Here is a 21,177-nt window from a genome sequence, read left to right as displayed (position 1 = left end):
GTAGCTGGGACTACAGGTACACACCACCACACTCAGCTAATCTTTTAGCTTATTTTTTTTTTAAGAGATGGGGTCTCACTATGTTGCCCAGGCTGGTCCCAAACTCCTGGCCTCAAGCGATCCTCCTGCTTGGGCCTCCCAAGTGCTGGGATTACAGGCATGAGCCACACTACACCAGCCTCCACAGACCTTTTACTCTAGGGTACAGTTTGGCTACATCCCTCCCCAGGGGGAAGGAACTTGTGAGGCCAAGAAGTCGCCGACATCCCTCCCCAGGGGGAAGGAGCCTGCGAAGCCAAGAAGTCACCCAGACTCCCTAACCCACTTTCTGGAGACAGAGTTAGCAGGATACAAAATTGCCATTGTATGGAAGTCCTGAATTGGCCACACCTTTGCCTTTGGGTTTTTAACAAAAGTCTTTTTCAAACCCAATATTTGTGTACAGTTCAAATGTAATAAAGAGATCAGCTTAAACTCGTGGTTTTTTAAGTTAATAAATACATGAAAAGCAGCCAGCACAGGCTGGTGAAGTATAGGTCCTTCCCCTCCCTTGTTGTTGCATCACTACAAGCGGAGGCATTTGGCAGAATTAATTTTAGCCATCAGATGCTTGTTTTGTTTTAGCTTTTCAGGAAACATAGATCAGATTAGCAAAAGAACTATAGATCAAATTAGTTAAGTAAATGAGGGGGTTCAACAACTTCAACAGATTCATTACACTATTAGTCATCTGCCCTCGTACATTGCTATATAGGTGTCCCTCCATCCAACTGCATATCAAAAATATTCAGGACAAAAAAATCTCAATCCAACAGTAGAAAATAGTACCAATAAAATCTACAGTACAATAACTATTTAGGTAGCATTTACATTATATTAGGTGCTATAAGTAATCTAGAGATGATTTAAAGCAGCAGTTCCCAACCTTTTTGGCACCAGGAACCAGTTGCTTGGAAGAGAATTTTTCCACAAGAGAGGTGGTTGGGGGGACGGTGGTGCTTTCGGGATGAAACTGTTCCACCTCAGATCATCAGGCATTAGTTAGATTCTCACAAGGAATGCACAGCCTAGATCCCTCATATGCACAGTTCACAATAGGGTTCCTGCTCCTATGAGAATCAAATGCTCTGCTGACAGGAGGCGGAGTTCAGGCAGTAATGCTCACTCACCCTCCACCCACCTCCTGCTGTGTGGCCCAGATCCTAACAGACCATGGACTGGTACCAGTCGGTGGCCCAGGTTTAAAATATACAAAAGGATGTGCATAGATTATATGCAGATTCTACACCATTTTATATAAGGAACTTGGGCATCCTCAGATTTTGATAGGGGGCAGTGTCCTGGTACCAATCCCCCACGAATACTGGATACGGAAGGACAACTGTGCTAAATGCTAAAGGAGGGGGAGGAATGGAGGAGTTTGGAAAGAACTGTCTCAGCTGGGCTTGTTGCAGTTATTATTGTCAATTTTCTCATCACCACTATCATTTTCCACCACTGTCCAGCCTTCCCAGTTCCTCCCACAGTGGTCCTTGGGGTGCTCTGTGGACCTGTATGACTTCATGGAGCACCGTGAAACCTACTGGAGCAAGAACAGAAGAGCTAGGTTCAAGTCCTAGTTCTGCCACTTACTACTGGCTCTTTCTGAGACTTTGAGAGAACTATAGCCTTTCTGAAAGTTAGGTAGCCTGCTGTAAAATGGGCTCAAATGTGTTCAAGAACATTGGAAACTAAATCAAATATAATGGATGGTGATGATGGTGATAAAATTATAATAGCCACTGTTATAAAAAAAAGTGTGTTAGAACAATTCTTGGCCAAATCTATCATTTTCTACCAGTGCTATTCCTACTCACACATCCCACCTTCATTGCCACCTGCCATGAGCATGGAATATAATAATAGGTGCAGACAGGTGACTAGCTATCATTATAGTTAACCTTTAGTGAGATCAGTGATTTAAAATGGTACTTTACACCTCTTCATTTCTCTTATTAATTTGACACTTATTTTCTGGAAAGCCAAAACAAGTGGTAGCATCTGGAAGCTGCATTAAACTCCTCAAAAGGTCCCTTCCTAGGAGAAGCAAGTGATTTTGTATTCTTAGCTCTGAAAAGAAGGCAGGGAAAAGGAAACTAACATTTTTGGAGAACTTGCTAAAAGATACATTGTATTAGTCTATCAGGCTGCTATCATCAAATAACATAGACCTGGTGGCTTAAAGAACAGACATTTATTTCTCACAGTTCGGGAGTCTGGGAAGTCCAAGATCAGGATGGCTGCATGGTTGACTTCTAGTGAGATACCTCTTCCTGGCTTGAAGATGGCTGCTGTCTCTCTGTGTCCTCAGTGGTGAGATGAGAGAGTGAACTCCAGTCTTTTTCTTATAAGAACACTAATCCTATCATGGGCACCCCAACCTCATAACCACATCTAAACCTAATTACCTCCCCAAACCCCCACCTTCTAATATCATTATATTGGGGTTTAAGCTTTCAACATATGAATTTGGGGGAACAGAAACATTTAGCACACAACACATGTACAGGGAAAAATTGTTATAATAGTGAAAAATATTGTAAATAACCTAAAGGTTTCTCTGTTGGGGAAAGGACGAATAAACTATAGCATATTCTTAGATGGACTAGTTTTTTTTGTAGCAGTTAACAAGAATTAAATACATAACGAATTAAATCTGAAAACAAGATAAGGAAAAATAAGTAAATTGCAGGATAACACAAATAGCAAGCTTTCTTTCGTATAAAAAATGCTAACACAAAACATTATGTAACTTGTACATTGATTTTTTTGTTACCTGCACACATACACACACACTGATTTGCATGAAAGATACTGGAAGAATTCATATCAAATCAGAGTGGTGGTTGCTGTGTTGGGGATATGAAACTAGTGGTGAGACACAAAAGGAGCTAATGTGGGGGTTTTTATTTGTTTTTTGTTTTGCCTTAATTAAAAAGGCAGGCTTAAATGAAACATCATTCATTCAATAAAAATTTATTCAGAGCCTAGTAAAATTCAGATCCTCCTTTCTATGCTGGGGAATCTTGGGGCAATGCAGGCAGTTCCTGACTTCATGGAGATTACATCCTATTGAATAAGATAAGAAATATAGAATATAATGTCAGGATTCAATTATCAAAAATAAAATGAAAATGAGGCCAAGTAAGGAGTTAGAGAATGACCAGGGACTATTAATTAGGGCAGGCAATCAAGGAGGGCTTATCTGAGAAAGTGACATTGGACAGAGACCTAAATATCATTAAGCATTGACACTTAGTGATGGAGACACCGCAGTTTGGTTTACTATATTATTCCCTGTACCTTTGTAGCATTTAAAAATCTCTCTTTCCGCCCACCAAAAAAAATTCTGCTTCAGAGTAGCATGAGATTTTTAAAGAGGTACCAAACCCAGATGAAGCATTTAGGGATTGCAAACTTTTGAATCAATGATTGGGGTTAGGAGGAATGTGTATAGAAAAACATCACATAAAGTAATGACTTGGTTTTATAAGTGGGAAACAAAAAATGCAAATTATTTTTTAAAATACCAACTCCAGAATTCAACAAAATCTTCCTGATAGGTAAGGATTCAGGAAAAATCACAGTACTTCTGAAAGGTGTGAGAATAGAGGTGTCAAACCTTCACCAGGAGGGATAAGATTTTTAATTTTATCAAAAGGGAATGTGACTCTTTTAAAAAGAAGTTTGAGAATCTGCTCCAGAAGGGAAAATAAATCGTTTAAATGAATTGTTTAAGCCAGGCACAGTGGCTCATGTCTGTAATCCCAGCACTTCGAGAGGCTGAGGCAGGAGGATTGCTTGAGCCCAGGAGTTTCAGACCACCCTGGGCAACACAGCAAGACCCCATCTCTATTTTTTCATTTAAAAAAAAAAACAAACTGTTTAAAGAGTTAGAAGACCCAATCTCAGCACTGACATAGTAAATATTATCCCATTCAACCAACATGAGATGCTGGGTTTCTTATCTATCTCCTTCGTATGAAGTGAATGGGATGGGTTAATATAATCATGAACAACTAAATAGCTTCAACTTTATCATGATCACCAATAGCCTACTTTTTATTAAGGATTTCTTTGAGCCAGAAATAGGGATGAATGCTTTATATTCATTATCTTATTTGGTTGAGAGAATTATTGAGTAAATAATCTCTAAGTCTCTTTCAGCTTTATCAGCCTAGTAAGGAAACAAGAAGAAAGCACAAGAGACTGCTACATGAGCTGTGGTTTCCATCTGCAGGGGCAAAATGGAAGACAAATGTCAGGCTCAGCTCAGTCCCCCTTATTCCTTTTGCCCTTTCATGTATCCTTACCTTGTTGAGCAGCTTACCTCATTTGTATCTCTTTTATTTTCACCCTAAACTCATAGCAAGGAATTCTTGTTGCAAGGACAAATATTTATTACAAATTCTGTTTTTTGTTCTAAACACAAAGAGCTGAAAATTATGTTCTGTGAGCCAGAGGAATGGGTAGGGTTATGATCTTATAAAATGCATGACTGCCCCATTGCTCTTGTTACTATATGCTTTAGATAAAATCCATTAGATTGTCCGGGAAGGCATGTGAACACACCAGTCCTAGGTGAATTTCAGTAATTTATTGTTGGGACATCAACCCAGGCTCCGGGTCAAAACATCAAGCCTCTTTTCTGTAGCTAAGAGTGAGTCTGTCACCTTTTCAGAGCTTATTCATACCACCACTTTGAGCCATCCCCTCCTCCCCATCCCCCAACATACCAGTTATGACCTGCTTTCAAACCAACTAAAGGTGAATTATGCAGTATTTATTGGAAGATGAGCAACCAGAGATTCTTCTAAACAAATTACTTACAATCCTTAAGGTTTTTAATCAGGCTTCTTCACGTGCTTTCTGGAGAAACAGATAGTCAGAATGGTCAGAAATGATAAAAACCTTAAATAGACTGGAAGTCAAACAGGTTGATGTAAAATGATGCCAGCATAATAAGAGCTAAGCATGCTCATGTCAGTGTTTGGTCTCCAGTTATCATTGAGCTGTTTACCTTATAATGTGTTTATGCTCTTCCTGAGGACTATATATTTAGGCACATTATTTAAAATGCTTCTTTCTTTTTGAAAATGCAGGTGTAAGAGAGTATGTTTCTATTTGTTTTCCTCTTCCCCACCCCTCCCAGAGCAAAGTAAAGGATTCCCTGCTTTGCTGTGTTCTGCAGCTTGACCTTTAAACCAGACTTTGTGTTTCCATCAGAGCCCTGTTCTCTAGTTTCTTCTGGCTCTAGTGTTGTGCTATTTTGTAACAGGGTGACACTTGTACAAGCAGTAGGGATAAGGCTGTCACATGGTGAATGAACTTTTTATGAAATGTTGATGCGTCGACCTACATCCAACAACACTGAAGAAATAGAATATTACAGAAACAGTGGGATGATAGCCAGGGAAAGGAAGGGTATAGTTTGTCACCAGCACATTAATGGGCAAAGAAGGAGCCCAGAAAGCTTAGTGGGGAAAGAATAAAACATATTCTCAGTAAATATATTAAATCCAATATTAGCTGCATATTATCTGGCATAGCGTATAGTGCACATACTGCGTAGCATTGTGCGTTATGTTTATATGCATGTGTATTTATCAAATCTCATTACAGGCTACAAAAAATGTATTATTATCAGTACTTTACTGATGAGGAAGCTGAGATTGTTTATTTCTCAAGATTTTATCTAAGCAAGTATTTGTCAAGTATCAACATCATATCATACATGTAAGTTAAATAGAGCTGTGGTAATTTAGCCTGGCATTCAAATCCTTCTGCAATCTGAATACCACCTATCTTTCTAATACCATTGCCTGTATTGAGTTACACCAGTCAGGAAAATGGAAATCACTCTAGGGATTTCAGAATAAGGAAATTTAATTCAAGAACTTAATTACAAAAATTTTGGGGGAAAATGAACAATTCCTACTTTGCACCATACATTAGCTTGAAATGAGTCATAGATCTCTATGTAAAAGCTAAAAGTATAAAAGTTCTAGAAGAAAACATAGGAGTAAATGCTAGCAACTTTAGGATAAGCAAATATTTTTTAGATAGGACTTAAAAAGCGAACCATTGACAAAGTTGATATGTTGGCCTTTATCAAAATTTAAAACTTTTAAAATTAGCTAGCTGTGGTGGTACGCACCTGTAGTCCCAGCTACCAGGGAGGCTGAGGTAGAGGGGGATTGCTGGAGTCCAGGGTGTCGAGGCTGCAATAAGCCAAGATTGTGTTGCTGCACTCCAGTATGGTCAACAGAGTGAGACTGTCTAAAAATAAATAAATAAAACTTTTGTTCCTTTAAGGACATCTTTAAGAAAATGAAAAGTCAGGCCTCAAGCTGAGAGAAAATATTTGCAATACCTATGTCTAACAAAGAATTTGCATTCAGAACATATAAAGAATTTGCATTCAGAACATACAACTCAGTAAGAAGACAAACAACCCAATTTAAAAATGGGCAAAGCATGTGGGTGACCTGCCTTATGTCACTAGTGGAGCATTGTGGGATGCCTAGTTCAGCTTTTCTTATTTATTTCCTGTTTTTCACTACTACCCACTCCACTCAGCTGAACACAACCACATACACACTTGTATGCACACTCCTCTATTCTGGAAAAATGTGGAGTAAAAGCAAATAAGTAAAAGCTAACATTGACTTGAACATTCACTTTCCAAAATAGATGTACATACTTTTCTTTTTTTTTTTTTTTTTTTTTGTGATGGAGTCGCCCTCTGTTGCCCAGGCTGGAGCGCAGTGGCGCTATCCCGGCTCACTGCAAGCTCCACCTCCTGGGTTCACACCATTCTCCTGCCTCAGCCTCCCGAGTAGCTGGGACTACAGGCGCCTGCCACCACGCCCGGCTAATTTTTTTGTATTTTCAGTAGAGACAGGGTTTCACTATGTTAGCCAGGATGGTCTCGATCTCCTGACCTCGTGATCCACCCATCTCGGCCTCCCAAAGAGATGTACATACTTCTTAGAACATATATAAAAAGAAGCTCAAGCTAGGTGCTGTGGCTTACGCCTGTAATCCCAGCACTTTGGAAGGCTGAGGCAGGCGGATCCCTTGAGGTCAGGAGTTTGAGACCAGCCTGGCCAACATGGCAAAAATCCCATCTCTACTAAAAGTATAAAAATTGGCTGGGCATGATGGTATGCACCTGTAATCCCAGCTATGTGGGAGGCTGAGGCAGGAGAATTGCTTGAACCTGGGAGGCCGAGGTGGGCAGATCACCTGAGGTCAGGAGTTCAAGACCAGCCTGACCAACATGGAGAAACCCCGTCTCTACTAAAAATACAAAACTAGCCGGGCATAGTGGTGCATGCCTGTAATCCCAGCTACTCGAGAGACTGAGGCAGGAAAATCGCTTGAACCCGGGAGGCAGTGGTTGCAGTGAGCCGAGATCGCACCACTGCACTCCAGCCTGGGCAACAAGAGCAAAACTCCGTCTCAAAAAAAAAAAAAAAAAAGATATATGTACATATATATAAAATATATGTACTCTTTTATAATATATTATATATAATATATATATAAATTAGCTGGGTGTGATGGCACGCACCTGTAATCCCAGCCACTTGGGAGGCTGAGGCAGGAGAATTGCTTGAACCTGGGAGGCAGAGGTTGCAGTGAGCTGAGGTCACACCACTGCACTCCAGCCTGGGCGACAGAGCAAGCCTCTGTCTCAAAAAAAAAAAAAAAAAGACTGATGTTGGAAAAAATGTAGAGAAACTAAAACTCTTGTACACTGCTTGTAGAGATGGAAAAACAGTACAGCCATGTTGAAAAAAACTGTTTGGAAGTGACAGGAGGAAGATGGCATAATAGAAAGCCCCAGATCCTCCTTCCTCCATGGAGATACCAACGGACTTAAGAAATGTGTATAGACCAATTGTCTTTGGAAGAAATAACAGAAACAAGTTAAGAAGTTCCTGCACTCCAGGCAAGGACAAAGCCAAGTGCTTGGAAGCCCAGGAGGAAAATTCATGGAACCCACTCATTCACCAGAGCCCCTCCCCTCTAGTATAGCATGGTGCCATTGGAGAAAACTCCCAACTCAGAGTTCTTCTCAAGCAGAGAAAGAGAAAAATGATTGTAAAGTGGGATGTCTAATATTCTGACTTTTGGAGGGGGTGTTACCTAAGGGACTGGCTTCTGTCTTCCCGAAATCTAAGCACAGACAGGAACAAGGCAGCAGGTCAGGGGGCCAAAAAAAACAAAAGTGATGAAGAGGACTTGGTTGAGCACGTGTCTCAAACATAAACACAAGGGGGAGCTCCAGTACCACAGCTTGCTACAAAGCACCAGAAAGGCTTCAGTGATGCAGACACTGGGGAAGCTTCTGAGTAAAACTGGCAAACCTCTGCAATTAGATTACATACAAAAACCCAGAAAGCACACATCCTCAGAAAAGGCCTGAGAGATCTCCAGAATCTCTAGCTGGGCTGGTTGGCGAACTACCTGTACCTGTATGAAACCAGACTGCAAAGACTGGGAGAAGTGGCAGATAATTCAAATACTGAAGTCCCAACAAAGCATGAAAAGGAGTACAAAGAAACAGGAAAATATGGCCCAATCAAACGAACAAATTAAATATCCAGAAATTACCCCTAAAAAATGGAGATATATGAATTATCAGATAAATCGTTTCAAAAGAATCATCTTAAAGATGCCCAATGAATTAAAGGAGAGCACAGATAGACAGCTGGATATAATTAGGAAAATGATGTATGAATAAAATGAGAATATCAACAAAGAAAAACTATGAAGAAGAAACAAACAGAAATTCAAGAGTTGAAGACTACAGTAACTGAATTGAAAATTTTACTGAGGGAGATTAACAGCAGACTTGATTAAACAGAAGGAAGAATCAGTGAACTTGAGGAAAAGTCACTTGAAATTATCAAGTCATAAGAGCAAAAAAAAAAAGTGAAGTACAATAAAGAAAGCCTAAGGGACTTATGCTGTACCATCAGGTGGACAAATATGTGCATCATGAGAGTTCTAAAAGAAAAAGGGAGAGAGAAAGGGTCAAAGAGCTTCTTCAAAGGCATAATGGCTGAAAGCTTCCCAAATCTAAGGAAAGATATGAACATCTAAATTCAAGAAGTTCAGTGAGCTCTAAATATGGTAAACCTAAAGAGGTCTACACTGAGACACATTACAATCAAATTGTCCAAAGTCAAAGACAGAGATAGAATCTTGAAAGCAGCAAGAAAAAATTAGCTTATCACACACAAGGGAGCTTACATATGATTATCAGCAGATTTCTTAGCAGAAACCTTATAGGCTAGAAAAGAGTGAGATGATATATTTAAAGTACTGAGAAAAAGGGAAAAAAATGTCAACCAAAAATACTATATACTGAAAAACTGTCCTCAAAACTGAAGGGGAAATAAAGACTTGCCCAGATTAACAAAAGCTGAGAGAGTTTGTCATCACTAGACCTGCCTTACAAGAAATGCTAAAGTGAGTTCTTTAAGTTGAAACAAAAGAACATTAGATAGTAACACAAAAGCTTACGGCACCATGAAGCTCAGTGGCAAAAGTAAATATGTAGACAAATACACAATACTGTGATAGGGTGGTGCATAAATACTGTAATGGTGGTACATAAATCACTTTTAATTCTGGTATAGAATTTAAAGGACAAAGGTGAAAAAAACTACTTTAATGGATGTAAAATATACTAAAGATATAATTTATAACATCAGTAACTTAGTGTAGAAGGGAATATATAAGAGTAGAGTTTTTATATGTGGCATTATCTGCTTAAAATAGATTATTATAACTCTGACATGTTTTATGTCATCTCTATAGTAACCACAAAGAAAATACTCAAAAAAGTACACAAAAGATAAATGAGAAACAAATCAAAGTATATAGCACTACAAAAAAAAATGAACAAAACTAACAAGAAGGCAGCAAGAGAGGGAAAAAGAGAGATAACTACAACATAGAAAATGATAAAATGAAAATAATAAGTACTTCCCTATCAGTAATTACTTTAACTGTGAATAAACTCTCAGATCAAAAGACTAAATAAATGAAAAACAAAAGGTAACTATATGCCGTCTACAAGGCAGTCACTTTAGATTTAAGGACATACCTGAGCTAAAGGGAAAAGATGAAAAAAGATGTTCCATGTAAATGGTAACCAGAGAGAACAGAGGTGCTCATATCAGAAAAAATTAGACTAAGTAAACAACTGTCACAAGAGACAAAGAATGTCATTATATAATGATTAAAAGGTTAATTATTCAGAAAGATATAACAATTATTAATATATATTTACCTAACAGAGCACCCAAATATATGAAGTAAACATGTACAGAATTTAAAGGGAAAATAGTAACACAATAAGAGTAAGAGATTTCAATACCCCATTTTCAAAAATAGATAGAAAACCAGACTGAGAACAATAGGCATAAGTAGAATAGAGCAACACTATAGATCAGTTGGATCAAACAGACATATACAGGACACTCCACCCAACAGTAGCAGAATACACATTTTTCTCAAATGCACATGAAACATTCTCAAGGATAGATCACATGTTAGGCCACAAAACAAGTCTTAAGAAATTTAAGAAGATTGAGTGGCTCACACCTGTAATCCCAGCACTCTGGGAGGCCGAGGCGGGTGGATCACGAGGTCAGCAGATCGAGACCATCCTGGCTAACATGGTGAAACCCCGTCTCTACTAAAAATACAAAAAATTAGCCGGGCGTAGTGGCGGGTGCCTGTAGTCCCAGCTACTCAGGAGGCTGAGGCAGAAGAATGGCGTGAACCTGGGAGGTGGAGCTTGCAGTGAGCCGAGATTGCACCACTGCACTCCAGCCTGGGCGACAGAGCAAGACTCCATCTCAAAAATAAAAATAAAAAAATTAAAAATAAAGAAAATTAAGAAGATTGAAATCATACGAAATATCTTTTCCAACCACAGTGAAATGAAACCAGAAATCAATAGCAAACTGGAAAGCTCATCAAAATGTAGAAATTAAACAACATCCTCTTTTTTTAAAGAGATGGAGTCTTGCTTTGTCACCCAGCCTAGAATGCAGTGACATGATCATAGCTCACTGCAGCCTGAAACTCCTGGGCTCATGATATCCTCCCACCTCAACCTCCTGAGTAGCTGGGACTGCAGGTACATGTCACTACACTTGGCTCTTTTGCTTTGTTTGGTTTTTCATAGAGACATAGTCTCATTATGTTGCCCAGCCTGGTCTCAAACTCCTGGGTTCAAGCAATCCTCCCACCTTGGCCTCCCAAAGGACTGAGTTTACAGGCATGAGCCCCCATGCCCAACCAACACTCTCTTGTATAACCAGTGGGTCAAAGAAGAAATCACAAGATAAACTGGAAAACGTCTTGAGACAAATGAAAACAAAAAGGTAATGTACCAAGACTTATGGGAGGCAACAAAAGAAGTACAAAGGGGCCAGGTGTGGTGGCTCATGCTTGTAATCCCAGCAGATTGGGAGGCTGAGGCAGATGGATCCCTTGAGCTCACAAGTTTGAGACCAGCCTGGGCAAAATGGTGAAACCTCATTTCTACAAAAAAATACAAAAATTATCCAGATGTGATAATGTATGCCTCTAGTCCCAGCTACTTGAGAGGCTGAAGTGTGAGGATGGCTTGAGCCCAGGAGGTGGAGGCTGCAGTGAGCCAAGATCATGCCACTGCATTCCAGCCTGTGCCATACAGCTAGACCTTGTCTTAAAAAAAAAAAAAAGTACAAAGGAAAGTTTATATCAATAAATGACTACATTAAAAAAGAAAGATCTCAAAGAACCAAACTTTATACCTCAAGGAACTAGAGAAAAGAAAACAAACCAAATTCAAAATTAGCAGAATTTCAAGGGAATAATAAAGATTAGAGCAGATATAAATGAAATAGAGAATAGAAAGACAATGGAATAAAGCAACCAAACTTAGAATTTGTGTTTTGAAAGGATCAACCAAATTGACAGATCCTTAGCTAGACTAATTAAAATAAAGAGAAGACTTGAATAAATAGTTAGACATTAAAGAGGAGACATTACAACTAATGCCAAAGAAATAAAAAATATTATGAGACTACTGTGAATAACCTAGAAGAAATGTATAAATGTAGAAATTCCTAGACAAATGCAATCTGTTATGACTGAATCATGAAGAAATAGGAAATTTCAACCAACCTATCACTAGTAAGGTGATTGAACCAGTAATAAAAAGACCTTTTGTTTAAAACAAACAAACAAACAAACAAACAAAAAAAAACCCAGGACCAGATGGCTTTACTGGAGAATTATCCCAAACATTTAAAAAAGAATTTATGACAGTTCTTCTCAAACTCTTCCAAAAAAAAAAAAGACTGGAGAGGAGGGGACACTTCTAAACTATTTTATGAGGCCTGTATTACCATAATACCAAATCCAGACAAAGATACTACAAGAAAAGAAAATTACAGACCAATATAACCAATAAATATTGATGCAAAAATCTTTGACAAAATATGAGGAAATCAATTTAAACAGTACATTAAAAGATTATATACCATGACCAAGTGGGATTTATCCCTGGAATGCAAGGATGATTCAGTATACAAAAAAAAATCAGTCAGTGTAATACACCACATTAACAGAACAAAGAATGAAAATCACATGATTATCTCAACTGATGCAGAAAATGCATTTGAAAAAATTCAACATGCTTTTATAATAAAAATATTCAACAAACTAGGAATAAAAGAATTCCCTCAACATAAGAAAGGTCAAGTATGAAAAGTCTATAGCTAACATCATTCTAGATGGTGAAAAACTGAAAGCTTTCTTCCAAGATCAGGAACAAGACAAGAATGCTCACTCTTACCACTTCTATTAAACACAGTACTGGAAGTCCTAGTCAGAGCAATTAGGAAAGAAAAAAATATATAAAAAGCATCCAATTTGGAAAGGAGGAAATAAAATTATCTCTGTTCACAAAATGACATGATCTTATATGTAGAAAACTTTAAAGATTCCACATTTCAAATGCTCTTAAAACTAATAAACTATTCAGCAAAGTCAAAGTTTCTAGGTGCAAATTTTTTTTTTCTTTTTGAGACAGGATTTTGCTCTGCCACACAGGATGGAGTACAATGGCACAATCACAGCTCACTGGAGCCTCAACCTGGGCTCAAGTAATCCTGCCAGCTTAGCCTCCCAAATAGCTGGGTCCACAGACATGTGCCACCATGCCAGGCTAGTTTTTTTTCATCTGTAGAGACATGATCTTGCTATGTTGCCCAGGCTGGTCTTGAACTCCTGGACTCAAGTGATCCTTCTGCCTCAGCCTCCCAAAGTGCAGGGTACAAAATTAACATAAAAGATTAGTTGAATTTCTGAACAGTAACAATATGAAAGGAAATTAAGAAAACAGTTCCATTTATGATAGCATCAAAAAAGTAAAATACTTAGGAATAAACTTAATGAACAAGGTGAAAGACTTGTACACTGAAAACTTAAAACATTGCTTAAAAAAGTTAAGACATAAATAAATGGAAAGATATCACATGTTCACGGATTGGAAGACAATGTTGTTAAAATGTCCATACTACCCAAAGCAATCTGTAAATTCAATGGAATCTTTATCAAAATCCCAATGGCATTTTTTTTGTGTGGAAACAGAAAAACAGTCCTAAAACTCATATTTACTCCAAATAGCCAAAACAATCATGAGAAAGAAGAACAAAATTGAAGGCCTCACACTTCCTAATTTCAAAACATATTACAGAGTGATGGTAATCAAAACAATATGGTACTGGCATAAAGACAGACATGTAGACCAATAAAACAGAATAGAGATCCTCATGTATATGGTCAAATAATCCTCAACAGTGAGCCAAGACTACATAGTGGTGGAAGGATAGTGTCAAAAAATGGTGTGGAGAAAAGTGGAGGTCCACATTGCAAAAGAAAGTAATTGGACCCTTATCTTAGAGCGTAAGCATACAAAAAAATCACTCAAACTGAATTAAATACCTAAATCTAAGACCTGAAACTGTAAAACTCCTAGAGGAAAACAGGAGGGGGAAAGCTTCATGGCATTGTATTTGGTAAGGATTTCTTGGAAATGACACCAAATGCACAGGCAACAAAAACAAAAATAGACAAATTGGACTACATTACACTAAAATCTTCTGCACAGTAAACAGTCAACAGAGTGAAAAGACAAGCTACAGAATGAGAGAAAATATTTGCAAACCATATATTTGATAAGGTGTTAATATCCAGGATACACAAAGAACTCCTACAACTCAAATTACAGAATAAATAACCCTATTGAAAAATAGGCAAAGGACTTGAATAGATAATTTTCCTAAGAAGAAGTACAAATGGCCAACAAGCATAAAAAAGATACTTAACATCACCGATCATCAGGGAAATGTGAATCAAAACCACAATGAGGCCAGGCACAGTGGTTTACGCCTGTAATCCCAGCACTTTGGGAGGCCAAGGGCAGGTGAATCAACTTGAGACCAGGAGGTTGAGATCAGCCTGGCTGATATGGTAAAACCCCATCTCTACTACAAGTACAAAAATTAGCTGGGCATGGTGGTGCATACCTGTAATCCCAGCTACTCAGGAGGCTGAGGCACAAGAATTGCTTGAGCCTGGGAGGCAAAGGTTGAGTGAGGTAAGCCAAGATTGTGCCACTGCACTCCAGCCTGGGTGATAAAACAAGATTCTGTTGAAAAAAAAAAAAAAAAAAAAACACAATGAGATATCACCTTAACCTGTTAGGATGACTAATATTAAAAATAAATAAATAAAATTTAAAAATAAACACAAAATAGTAAGTGTTGATGGGGATATAGAGAATCTTTCTCCCTCTGATCTCATTGAAACCACAGCCAACACTTCAGGAGCCACAGTGACCTGTCTGAACCATTCCACATCCTTCATACACTAAGCCACAGGCAAGTCAAACCATCCACATGCCTTGAAATTTGCTTTGATGATTGCTATAGTCATGCTGGCCCTTCTGGAAGGAATTCCATTTCCCCTTACCTCCATACTTCCCAATACTAATTAGATCCTCACTGCCAGCCTACATGTAACCTACTTCATGAATCCTCTTGGTTACCCACTTAGAGGTGATATTTTCCCCACACCTTTGTTTCCTTAACATTTTATTTACACCTCTCTTTTAGCATATGTCACCTTGTATTACATTTCTATGGATACAAATCTGATCTCTTTTAGTAGATCAAATTCAGCTTAAAGTCAGAGCCTGTATTTAGGTCATCTTTCTTTTCTCCACACTGCTCATCAGCAGTGCTGTGTACCTAATACATGTTCAATAAACATCTGTTGAATAAAGATTAAGTGAATTGTTGAATGAATAAATGGGGTCTATAGATAATTTTATACGGTTGCAGAAATGGATAAATATGTATGAACTCTGCCTATCTCTCTAAATCCATTTGGCAACTTTCTCTTTTACACTCCTTTTTCATACCAATCATATTTACATTCATCAAAAGTCTTTCATCTACCAGATATTATGCTTAATGTTTAAGGTTCTCAATAGGTGGTACTAATTGGGCATTGTAAAAAAAAACTGTTGACAACACAATGTGCACTAGATTTTGTCTCCTTCCCTGCAAAAACAAATGTAAAACTAATGTAAAAATCACTTTGCCTCTTCTTTTGGCACTTAGCAAGGAATGACTCAATGAATGAACTGCCAAGGAAATCAGTAAGGAATTTGAGCAGTTGGAGAAAATCTTTCCCCTGCTAGATGAAGTGTCACAGGGAAAGAAAACCAACAGCAAAGAGATAAAAGCAAAGTGAAATCCTAACTATGTGATCTAATTTAATATACAGGCTTCTAATTTAATATACAGGGAATTCTCCTTCACCAAATCCAAATGAAAACAATGTTTTAAACTTCCCCATCTGAAAGGTGAGAAAGAATTTTCCTAATTTGACCGCAAGATGTATATATTTGCAATTATGGAACAGGAATTGAAAAGGCAAAACTGTCAGTTATATCTGAACAATTCTAGAAGTCACTTGGCCAAATGGATGAATTTGTATCATAAGCCTGCTGGGTTTCCAAATGTGGCTGAGTCTTGTCTGTAAGAGCAACATAGCAGCCAAATAGAACTCTAGTAGCTCTGCCATTCCAGAATAGTACAACTGTCAATTTCACTGACTTGGGTTGAGATCCCACTTCTTCCATCTTCTATGTGCTCACCCTCACCTATAACATGTGAAGCCATCATAGCGGTATTATTGTGAGGGTGACGTGTGATATATTTAATGGCATAGCAAAATGCCTGGCATGTAGGAAGGAGCCAGTCTATCCTAGCTATTAGTATCCACCCTATTGCATACCCTCTGAGGAAAGCGGTCCAGAGACCTTGCCATTCTCACATCAGAGGCCACTCATAAATGGGAAAACATAAACCAAGTGGGAAGTAGTTTATCTCCTTAGAAATTCTTGCTAAGGCAAAGAATTCAAAGGAACACATTTCCTTATTGCAAACACGCTGCATTTAAAGTCTAATTAACTTTCCCACTAACATAATGACAGGCTATATAGACACTGCCCCAGCCTGAAGGGAGTTTCACATTCTGAGATGAAAAGACAGCAACATTATAATTCAACCAATGTGGTTGAAAGTGCCTTCCCTATAGTGCTCTTGTACAATACAGGGTTGATTGGAAATTATGCCCTATTTTCAAGAAGATAAGCATCAGCAGCAGTGGACAGAAGGATGCCATTTTTCTTTGAAACCTTACTTTTCAAGTACATGAGGAAAAATAAGCTTTTGTGTAATGCAGAGCAACTCCCAGCATGCAAACACCAGACCTCCTGGAGAATAGGCCACCTGGGGGATTATATTAACCACCACCTTATTTTCTCTCAAAACAGAGAGCACTTATTCTGAGGGCAATGTTTGTTAATTCCTAACAGAGGAGGACTTATGCCAGCCTGCTACTGGTCTGTGCCTTCTTTCATAAGACAGGCAGTAGAGTGAGTAAATAAACCTCATTCAGGGAAGGATAGTTTTCTGCTTTAGCTTTGAATAACCACCATAAAGAAACAATTAAGTAGGAAAGCAGTGACTTCATGTGAAAACTATCATGTCAAGTTAATAGAACACATAGCTAGTGGAATGTAAACCAAAATATGCATTAAAAAAAAACACAAACAAAACCAAGCCATTCTGTTGCTTACTGTAATGTGTTATCCAACTCACCAGGGATGCAAAATCATTTAAGTGAACGGTTCTTAGCCTTTCGTGAGTTTGAGAATCTGATGAAAACTACCAGGAAAAGGCCTATATGTAGCTATAAATGTGTGTATGTAATTTTAAATGCCTAATCCCCCAGCCCCACCCTGCAAATCACTAATCCTTAAGTTAAGAATCTCAACTCAAGAACAGATTATGGGCCAGGTATGGTGGCTCACCCCTGTAATCCTGGTGCTTTGGAGACCAAGGTGGGAGGATGGCTTGAAGCCAGGAATTCAAAGCCAGCCTGGGCAACATCGTGAGACTCCATCTGTATGAAAAAAAATATTTTAATTAGCCAGATATGGGTGGTGCATGCCAATAGGTAGCCCCAGCTACTTAGAAGGCTGAAGTGAGAAGCTTGCTTGAGCCCAGGAGTTCAAGGTTGGAGTGAACTATGATCACCCCACTGCACTCCAGCCTGGGTGATAGAGCAAGACCCTGTCACTCACCAAAAAAAAAAAAAAAAAACGTAATGATTGTCAAGTTCATGGACTCTGGAGTCAGATAAAACCAGGATTTGAATTCTGTTTCCAACTCTTACTATTATGTAAGCTGTGGAATTTTAAACCTTTTTGAGCCTTGGTTTTATTACCTGAAAATGGAAATAGTAATACTTTCCATGTCATAGTTAATTAAGAATATTAAATTATTTAAAGAACTTAGCATAGGCTGGGCATGGTGGCTTATGTCTGTAATCCCAGCATTTTGGGAGGCCAAGGAGGCAGGATTCCTTGAGATCAGAAGTTCAAGACCAGCCCAGTCAACATAGTGAGATCTTGTTTCTACTTTAAAAAAAATAAAATAAAATCAGCTACTCAACAGACTGAGGCAGGAGAATTGCTCAAGATAGAGGCTGCACAGGTGTCGTGGCAGATGCCTGTAGTCCCGGCTATTCAGGAGGCTGAGGCAGAAGAATCGCTTGAACCCAGGAGGCAGAGGCTGCCATGAGCCGAGACTGTGCCACTGCATTCCAGCCTAGGTGGCAGAGTAAAACTCCAGTGAGCTGTGATTGCACCACTAAGCTCCAGCCTGGGCGAGAGAGCGAAACCCAGTCTCAAAAAAATAAAGCATAGTTCTTGGCATGGACTAAGTACTCAGTAAGCATTAATACTGTTATTAGTTCTTAAAATAAAAAACTTTCCTATGTGGCCAGAAAGCAACTACAATTTTATCTCAATTCTAGAAATATTTACCAAGTGCCTCCTCTTTATGAAGAAATGCAGCAGGATCCTGACATGGGAACATTGATAATGGAATGAGCTTGAGCCAGGAAATTGATAAAGGCCCTGGATATACCCAGCACTGAACAGGGCAGGTTTCAGAGTCTTGTCTTCTCAGGGTTGGAAAGAACTTGAAGAGTCATGGGGCCCACTGTTATCGACAATCATATCAAAACCACAGCAGAACTACAACTGCAATGCCTGTGTCACAAAGGGAAACTTGTGAGTCTTTAGGTAACATTTTATGTATTTAAGAGGAAAGAGATAAACCAAAGATATCAATAATTTATGGACTAAATGGAATTAATAAACCCCACCACTGAGAATTATTTGGTTAACCACAGTTTAGGCTACTGATGGATTTTACTCAGAATTAAAGTGGAAATATATTAAAGCAATAGTTTTGAGAACAAAGTAGGTCACAAAGCTCCATTTAAAATAGAATAGGCCGGGCATGGTGGCTCATGCCTGTAATCCCAGCAGGGCAAGGCAGGAGGATTGCTTGAGCCCAGGAGTTCAACACCAGCCTGGGCAACAACGAAACCCTGTCTCTACAAAAAATGCAAAAATTAGCTGGGCGTGGTGGGACACGTATGTGGTCCCAGCTACTTGGGAGACTGAGGTGGGAGGATGGCTTGAGCTGTGAGGCAGAGGGTGCACTGAGCTGAGATCATGCCACTGCACTCAGCTTGGGCAACAGAGAGAGACCCTGTCTCAAAAATAAAAAAATAAAATACAGTATTTTCTGCTCCATCTAATCAGACACTCTGTAACATTGTGATAAGAAGATTGAAGACAGAGAATGAGATGACTTGGGATCAGTCTTTAAGTCCACCCCAGCCAATCCAGTAATACTATAGTCTCTCTTTTCCTTGGGTATGGATTTTATTTATAAAAGATGAAGGAGTATATTTAAAGGAAAATGAGGAAATGAATCAATGACACTATATTCTTCCAGTTTTCAGGCTCTTTGGGGGCAATTTTCAGGCTCTTTGGGGGGATTACCTTCCTCTGCTGTTCTTCTGCTCTCCTCCTATGAGATTTCAGACTCAAATAAATGTCTGCACAGGCCAGGCAAGCAGTGTGAACCACTGATTTAGCCCATTTGGTGACTGTGATGACCTGGAGCCTGTGTTCCTTGGGCTAATGGCACAGCTCTTTCTCAGCTCCCACCAGTGGTGTCCATCTGGGAATCAGACAGGTATTACCGTATCTTCCTTTTTCGAAGACAAATTTCAAATATAAATTTGTATGTGAAATGTCCTGACTTGCAAATATTGGTAACTAATTCACATTTGAAACAAAACAAAACATTGTCCAGGCCAAACAAAACAGCATCAAGGGTCACCAGTTTGGGTCTTTTGCTCTAGGTGTTTGGGTTTCTTCAAGTTCTGTCCCTGGCCTTATCTTCTCATGCTACAATCACTTCCTATTAAAACAAAAACAAAAACAAAAACCTCTCATCTCTTCTGTGGTTTAAAATACCTTCTCTGTACTGAAGACTTCCAAATGTATTGAGAGTCATGGCCTCTCCTCTAAACTCCAGACTCAAGTATCTAGCTGCCAACTCCACATCAACCTTGGATGTCTTGTGAGCATCTCAAACATAGCATATGCAAACCTGAACTCTTGATGTAGTTCTAACACCTGCTTCTTCTCCAGTTTCTCTGGCTCAATAAATGGCATCTGTATTGCTCGAAAAACATGGGAATTTTTCTCTACTTTCTCCTCTTTTACTGCCCTTGGCTAGTCCATCATTTCCTGTAGATCCTTCATCCAAAAATCATTCTTTGATTTGTCCCCTTATCTCCACCTTTAGCACCACAATAAGCCACCATGTTTCATCTGTTCTGTAATAGTTTCCTAACTGGATTCCTTCTGCCCATTGTCCTGCCAATATTTTTCTTGTAACAGCAAGAGTGACCTCTTAAAATGTTAGGCAAATCAGATTACCTCCTGTTTAAATCTCTCAATGTTTTACAATATGTAACAACCAAAAGAAGACAGATATGATCCTACTATGTCAAATGGACTAAGAGTATTTTTCATCTATAAACTGGAATAAAAATACCTACATCAAAGAGTGGTTGTATCAAATGAGGGCTAATATTACTTTTACATTAGTTTTTGTTAGTTTTTGCAGAGAAGGAGGCAAATTCAGTCGACATTTATGTTGTTAATAGCTACTTATAGTCCCCAATTAGTACCACCTACAGAAAACCTTCTAAATAGTTTGCTGACAAAGTTTTCATTCGTATTATTGTAGCCTCAAAGTAAAACATCTGTCTTGATTAAATTATAAAAACTGTTAAAAATTATGGAACAAACCAAGTTTGATTAAAAACATAGAACATACTTAGAATAATTTCACATCCTCAGATTATTTTAAAAACAAGTTTTTAAATGGAAAATGATTAGATGATATTGGTGCAATGTTATATCATAAAAACCGAACCATTTTTGTAAATTTCTCTATTTTCATTTATTTGAATTCACCTTTGCCTTGCACTGTATAGTAAAGTCTTAATTTCCAAAGTAGCACCATGAATTCAGCAGCTCATAGTTACATCAGTCCCTGTGGCCCCTTTTTCTTTCAGTTCACACACTCCCATTTAGAAAAAACCAAGGTG

The 21,177-nt window shown here is 38.6% G+C and overlaps 1 protein-coding gene across 7 annotated transcripts in view, besides 1 other annotated feature; it reads left to right on the top strand.

Moving 5' to 3' along the window:
• RNF150 (ring finger protein 150) overlaps positions 1-21,177 on the top strand; it is a 353,094-nt gene that overhangs the window by 319,942 nt on the left and 11,975 nt on the right. The window lies entirely within an intron of this gene.
• Positions 8,170-8,464: a silencer, noted in NCBI's record as "tiled region #7410; HepG2 Repressive non-DNase unmatched - State 12:CtcfO". NCBI's record gives its function as "represses a minimal TATA promoter and a strong SV40 promoter by Sharpr-MPRA in HepG2 cells {active_cell/tissue: HepG2}" and the evidence as "EXISTENCE:reporter gene assay evidence [ECO:0000049][PMID:27701403]".

This window comes from Homo sapiens, chromosome 4 (assembly GCF_000001405.40).
Source record: "Homo sapiens chromosome 4, GRCh38.p14 Primary Assembly".
NCBI lineage: Eukaryota > Metazoa > Chordata > Mammalia > Primates > Hominidae > Homo > Homo sapiens.
The sequence above is the reverse complement of the archived record's forward strand: the minus strand, read 5'-3'. Positions and strand labels throughout refer to the sequence as shown.